At 39.1% G+C, this 7430-nt stretch overlaps 1 annotated feature.

Annotated features, from left to right (window-relative positions):
* Positions 3340 to 3920: an enhancer, noted in NCBI's record as "H3K27ac-H3K4me1 hESC enhancer chr14:43961727-43962307 (GRCh37/hg19 assembly coordinates)". NCBI's record gives its function as "activates a minimal SCP1, AML or CMV promoter by ChIP-STARR-seq in naive H9 embryonic stem cells {active_cell/tissue: H9 hESC(naive)}" and the evidence as "EXISTENCE:reporter gene assay evidence [ECO:0000049][PMID:30033119]".

Raw genomic sequence — 7430 nt, 5'->3', positions numbered from 1 at the left:
GCAATTGTGAATGGGAGTTCACTCATGATTTGGCTCTCTGTTTGTCTGTTGCTGGTGTATAAGAATGCTTGTGATTGTTGTACATTGATTTTGCATCCTGAGACTTTGCTGAAGTTGCTTATCAGCTTCAGGAGATTTTGGGCTGAGACAATGGGGTTTTCTAGATATACAATCATGTCGTCTGCAAACAGGGACAATTTGACTTCCTCTTTTCCTAATTGAATACCCTTTATTTCCTTCTCCTGCCTAATTGCCCTGGCCAGAACTTCCAACACTATGTTGAAAAGGAGTGGTGAGAGAGGGCATCCCTGTCTTGTGCCAGTTTTCAAAGGGAATGCTTCCAGTTTTTGCCCATTCAGTATGATATTGGCTGTGGGTTTGTCATAGATAGCTCTTATTATTTTGAAATATGTCCCATCAATGCCTAATTTATTGAGAGTTTTTAGCATGAAGGGTTGTTGAATTTTGTCAAAGGCTTTTTCTGCATCTATTGAGATAATCATGTGGTTTTTGTCTTTGGCTCTGTTTATATGCTGGATTCCATTTATTGATTTGCGTATATTGAACCAGCCTTGCATCCCAGGGATGAAGCCCACTTGATCATGGTGGATAAGCTTTTTGATGTGCTGCTGGATTCAGTTTGCCAGTATTTTATTGAGGATTTTTGCATCAATGTTCATCAAGGATATTGGTCTAAAATTCTCTTTTTTTGTTGTGTCTCTGCCTGGCTTTGGTATCAGAATGATGCTGGCCTCATAAAATGAGTTAGGGAGGATTCCCTCTTTTTGTATTGATTGGAATAGTTTCAGAAGGAATGGTACCAGTTCCTCCTTGTACCTCTGGTAGAATTCAGCTGTGAATCCATCTGGTCCTGGACTCTTTTGGTTGGTAAGCTATTGATTATTGCCACAATTTCAGCTCCTGTTATTGGTCTATTCAGAGATTCAACTTCTTCCTGGTTTAGTCTTGGGAGAGTGTATGTGTCCAGGAATTTATCCATTTCTTCTAGATTTTCTAGTTTATTTGCATAGAGGTGTTTGTAATATTCGCTGATGGTAGTTTGTATTTCTGTGGGATCAGTGGTGATATCCCCTTTATCATTTTTTATTGTGTCTATTAGATTCTTCTCTCTTTTTTTCTTTATTAGTCTTGCTAGCAGTCTATCAATTTTGTTGATCCTTTCAAAAAACCAGCTCCTGGATTGATTAATCTTTTGAAGGGTTTTTTGTGTCTCTGTTTCCTTCAGTTCTGCTCTGATCTTAGTTATTTCTTGCCTTCTGCTAGCTTTTGAATGTGTTTGCTCTTGCTTTTCTAGTTCTTTTAATTGTGATGTTAGGGTGTCAATTTTGGATCTTTCCTGCTTTCTCTTGTGGGCATTTAGTGCTATAAATTTCCCTCTACACACTGCTTTGAATGCGTCCCAGAGATTCTGGTATGTTGTGTCTTTGTTCTCACTGGTTTCAAAGAACATCTTTATTTCTGCCTTCATTTCGTTATGTACCCAGTAGTCATTCAGGAGCAGGTTGTTCAGTTTCCATGTAGTTGAGCGGTTTTGAGTGAGATTCTTAATCCTGAGTTCTAGTTTGATTGCACTGTGGTCTGAGAGATAGTTTGTTATAATTTCTGTTCTTTTACATTTGCTGAGGAGAGCTTTACTTCCAAGTATGTGGTCAATTTTGGAATAGGTGTGGTGTGGTGCAGTGCTAAAAAAAATGTATATTCTGTTGATTTGGGGTGGAGAGTTCTGTAGATGTCTATTAGGTCCGCTTGGTGCAGGGCTGAGTTCAATTCCTGGGTATCCTTGTTGACTTTCTGTCTCGTTGATCTGTCTAATGTTGACAGTGGGGTGTTAAAGTCTCCCATTATTAATGTGTGGGAGTCTAAGTCTCTTTGTAGGTCACTCAGGACTTGCTTTATGAATCTTGGTGCTCCTGTATTGGGTGCATATATATTTAGGATAGTTAGTTCTTCTTGTTGAATTGATCCCTTTACCATTATGTAATGGCCTTGTCTCTTTTGATCTTTGTTGGTTTAAAGTCTGTTTTATCTGAGACTAGGATTGCAACCCCTGCCTTTTTTTGTTTTCCATTTGCTTGGTAGATCTTCCTCCATCCTTTTATTTTGAGCCTATGTGTGTCTCTGCACATGAGATGGGTTTCCTGAATACAGCACACTGATGGGTCTTGACTATCCAATTTGCCAGTCTGTGTCTTTTAATTGGAGCATTTAGTCCATTTATATTTAAAGTTAATATTGTTATGTGTGAATTTGATCCTGTCATGATGATGTTAGCTGTTGATTTTGCTCGTTAGTTGATGCAGTTTCTTCCTAGTCTCGATGGTCTTTACATTTTGGCATGATTTTGCAGTGGCTGGTACCGGTTGTTCCTTTCCATGTTTAGCGCTTCCTTCAGGAGCTCTTTTAGGGCAGGCCTGGTGGTGACAAAATCTCTCAGCATTTGCTTGTCTGTAAAGTATTTTATTTCTCCTTCACTTATGAAGCTTAGTTTGGCTGGATATGAAATTCTGGGTTGAAAATTCTTGTCTTTAAGAATGTTGAATATTGGCCCCCACTCTCTTCTGGCTTGTAGGGTTTCTGTCGAGAGATCTGCTGTTAGTCTGTTGGGCTTTCCTTTGAGGGTAACCCGACCTTTCTCTCTGGCTGCCCTTAACATTTTTTCCTTCATTGCAACTTTTGTGAATCTGACAATTATGTGTCTTGGAGTTGCTCTTCTCGAGGAGTATCTTTGTGGTGTTCTCTGTATTTCCTTAATCTGAACGTTGGCCTGCCTTGCTAGATTGGGGAAGTTCTCCTGGATAATATCCTGCAGAGTGTTTTCCAGCTTGGTTCCATTCTCCCCATCACTTTCAGGTACACCAATCAGACGTAGATTTGGTCTTTTCACATAGTCCCATATTTCTTGGAGGCTTTGCTCGTTTCTTTTTATTCTTTTTTTCTAAACTTCCCTTCTCGCTTCATTTCATTCATTTCATCTTCCATCGCTGATACCCTTTCTTCCAGTTGATCCCATCGGCTCCTGAGGCTTCTGCATTCTTCACGTAGTTCTGGAGCCTTGGTTTTCAGCTCCATCAGCTCCTTTAAGCACTTCTCTATATTGGTTATTCTAGTTATACATTCTTCTAAATTTTTTCCAAAGTTTTCAACTTCTTTGCCTTTGATTTGAATGTCGTCCCTTAGCTCAGAGTAATTTGATCGTCTGAAGCCTTCTTCTCTCAGCTCGTCAAAGTCATTCTCCATCCAGCTTTGTTCCGTTGCTGGTGAGGAACTGCGTTCCTTTGGAGGAGGAGAGGCACTCTGCGTTTTAGAGTTTCCAGTTTTTCTGTTCTGTTTTTTCCCCATCTTTGTGGTTTTATCTACTTTTGGTCTTTGATGATGGTGATGTACAGATGGGTTTTTGGTGTGGATGTCCTTTCTGTTTGTTAGTTTTCCTTCTAACAGACAGGACCCTCAGCTGCAGGTCTGTTGGAATACCCTGCCATGTGAGGTGTCAGTGTGCCCCTGCTGGGGGGGTGCCTCCCAGTTAGGCTGCTCAGGGGTGAGGGATCAGGGACCCACTTGAGGAGGCAGTCTGCAGGTTCTCAGATCTCCAGCTGCGTACTGGGAGAACCACTGCTCTCTTCAAAGCTGTGAGACAGGGACATTTAAGTCTGCAGAGGTTACTGCTGTCTTTTTGTTTGTCTGTGCCCTGACCCCAGAGGTGGAGCCTACAGAGGCAGGCAGGCCTCCTTGAGCTGTGGTGGGCTCCGCCCAGTTGGAGCTTCCAGGCTGCTTTGTTTACCTAATCAAGCCTGGGCAATGGCGGGCGCCCCTCCCCCAGCCTGGCTGCCGCTTTGCAGTTTGATCTCAGACTGTTGTGCTAGCAATCAGTGAGACTCCCTGGGTGTAGGACCCTCCGAGCCAGGTGTGGGATATAATCTCGTGGTGCGCCGTTTTTTAAGCCTGTCGGAAAAGCGCAGTATTTGGGTGGGAGTGACCCGATTTTCCAGGTGCGTCTGTCACCCCTTTCTTTGACTGGGAAAGGGAACTCCCTGACCCCTTGCGCTTCCCAAGTGAGGCAATGCCTCGCCCTGCTTCGGCTCGCGCACGGTGCGCACACCCACTGACCTGCACCCACTGTCTGGCACTCCCTAGTGAGATGAACCCGGTACCTCAGATGGAAATGCAGAAATCACTGTCTTCTGCGTCGCTCATGCTGGGAGCTGTAGACGGGAGCTTTTCCTATTCGGCCATCTTGGCTTTGTCTTGTTTCAGTTTTCAAGAGAAATGTTTCCAGCTTTTGCCCACTCAGTATGATTTTGGCTATGGGCTTGGCATATACATTTCTCATTATTTTGAGGTATGTTCTTTCAGTACCTAATTTATTGAGAGTTTTTAACATGAAGGGATGTTAAATTTTATGGAAGGTCTTTTCTGCATCTGTTGAGATAATCAGGTGGTTTTGTCTTTAGTTCTGTTTATGTGATGAATTACTTTTATTGATTTTCATATGTTGAATCAACCTTTTGACCCAGGGATGAAGCCAATTTGATTTTGTGGATAACAGTTTGATTTGCCTCTGGTTTTGGTTTCCCAGATTTATACTCTTTTTTAATGTGTGTGTTTATCCCCACTGTGTCATTGGTAAAGATTCTTCAGAATTTAATAATTTAGCATATTTTCCATTAAATTAATATTTAAACAGATAATATATAGTTATTTCATTATAATTTTTTATGTAATATTTATATAAAGATATTTTATATACTTTCAATTTGATTTATAAAATATCTAATTCCATTGCAATGAATTGTCTTTCAAATGCTTTACCATGGTTGTGTGTCTGAATTAAACTATTTTTGATAGTTTATAGTCAATACAAAGCTTATAAATGGAATAATCTTCAATTATTTTTGTTATACAATATTAATATAGTATATAGGTTAAAAAGATTAATGCATTGCACATATACTGTTAGTAATTTATGAAAGCTGACATTTGATGTTTTAATCATTCATAGTTTCTAAAGTACTTTTTTGTAGTACTTTGAAATGTCAGGTGAAGAGAATATTCAGAAATCCTTTCTTTAAACACTGAGATTTCTGCTCTATTCAAATGATGGTTGCAACCATACATATAGCTATATGAAAACAGCTGTTGGGAGAAGATGATGCCAAAAAGCAGAGATAGGAAGTAGAGGGATTTTTGAGTGCTTTCAATTTTCAGTATCCAGTTATCTCTTAGATCCAATTGCACCCAGTCCTTTATATGCTGTGATTAAGTGAGTCAATAGTTTTCTTTTCTTTCTTTTTTTTGTTTTTTTTCTGCAACGGAGTCTCTCTCTGCTGCTCAGCCTGGAGTGCAGTGGCACGATCTCAGCTCGCTGCCACCACCACCTCCCAGGTTCAAGCCATTCTCCAGCCTGAGTCTCCCAAGTAGCTGGTATTACAGGTGTGTGCCACCATGCCTGGCTAATTTGTGTATTTTTAGTAGAGACAGGTTTTCACCATATTGGCCAGGTTGGTCTGGAACTCCTGGCCTGAAGCGATCCACCTGCTTTGGCTTCCCTAAGTGCTAGGATTACAAGTGTGAGCCACTGTGCCTGGCCTATGCCAATAGTTTTCTATTTTGCCTAATTTATCATATGTTTTCTGTTTTATTTATGTATTTCACAGTCACATATAGAATATTTGCCAGGTGCCAGGCACTGATTAAAAAATTTAGGAAGATTAACCCCAAACCAACCTATGAGGTACAGACTATTATTTCTCCAAACTTTATAGGTAGAAAGCTAAAACATCAGAGAATTTAAGTAATCTGCATTTTTTTAGTTATCTATAGCTGCATAATGCTAAACTTACAGATCACCTTAAACTGAAAAAGTCAACTATGTATTTGCCTGTAAATCTGTATGTTAGCACTTGGGTTTATCTGGAAGGTTCTGCCGGTTTTACCTGGGGTCACTCATGCAACTTCAGACCCTTGGCAGCTCTCCTGGGGCTTACTTGTCTCACGTGGTTGTACATACATAATTGTCAGTTGATTCTGGCTGTCATCTGCAGCTCCTTTGTTCTTCTCAACAGGGCTGCTCATTTCTAGCTAACTAGTTCTAGATTTTCTAGAAGGTAATTTATGGAAGTGTTACTAGAGGATGAGAGTAGAAACTAAGCCTTTTGAAGCTTAGGCTCTGAAGTTTAGCAACATTACATATTTTATATTCTCTTTTTCCAAGCAAATCAAAATGCAAATCCAGATATATGGGATGGGCATATAGATTACACCTTATTATGCAGAATTCCTATAGCTACATTCCAAGGGAATGTGCACATAGGAAACAAGGAATTATTGTGGCCATTTTTGCAGACTTCTGCTACACCAAACAAAGTTACATAGCTGATGATTGGTAGAAGAAGTCTTGGAGTCCATGATTTTAACATTATATTGTGATGCTTTCAGTGTAAGCCCGTGTCCTCACTTAGATCCCATATTTCCCTTCATTAAAAGAATATCAGAAATGATCTAGTGTTTCAATATATTTTGTTTAACATGCAAATTAAATTATATTATGTAATTATTAAGTTATGAAATTATACACATGTGCAAATAGAGTACTTTTATTATTTTACTTATCTTTTTTGAGATGTTTATAACTATCAGTCCATATATTCAATTGATGTATTAGAATTGTGTAAGAATTTACAAGAATTCAGGGTATTAATTCATAATACCCCAAATAATGCAACAATAATTCTTATAAAAGTTATATAAAATTCTTGTATAAAAATTTATGTTGCATTCTTCTGGGTATTATGACTAGAATCTTTCTAGCAGTGTTTCCTTGTAGAAATCATTGATGAAATAAGCTTAAGATGTGATATAGATTAAAAGAAAAATATTTCTTTTTTTTTTATACTTTAAGTTCTAGGGCACATGTGCACAACGTGCAGGTTTGTTACATATGTATACATGTGCGATGTTGGTGTGCTGCACCCATTAACTTGTCATTTACATTAGGTATATCTCCTAATGCTATCCCTCCCCCTCCCCCCACACCAGGACAGGCCCAGGTGTGTGATGTTCCCCTTCCTGTGTCAAAGTGTTCTCATTGTTCAATTCCCACCTATGAGTGAGAACATGCAATGTTTGGTTTTCTGTCCTTGCGATAGTTTGCTGAGAATGATGGTTTCCAGCTTCATCCATGTCCCTACAAAGGACATGAACTCATCAAAAGAAAAAGATTTCTTATGACTAGATCTTCAGTGATTCAGAGATCACACTGTATTAGAGCATTGAAGTTTTGTTTGTTTGTTTGTTTAACAAAAGTAATTATAAAGCCCACTTCTGGAAATCTTTTTATAGTATATCAAGGCAGCAAATACAGTCAATCCTCTTTAAATATGCCTTACTTAAACATATTATTAATTCCATTTCTT

The sequence above is a fragment of the Homo sapiens genome, chromosome 14 (genome assembly GCF_000001405.40).
Source record: "Homo sapiens chromosome 14, GRCh38.p14 Primary Assembly".
Lineage (NCBI taxonomy): Eukaryota > Metazoa > Chordata > Mammalia > Primates > Hominidae > Homo > Homo sapiens.
The sequence above is the reverse complement of the archived record's forward strand: the minus strand, read 5'-3'. Positions and strand labels throughout refer to the sequence as shown.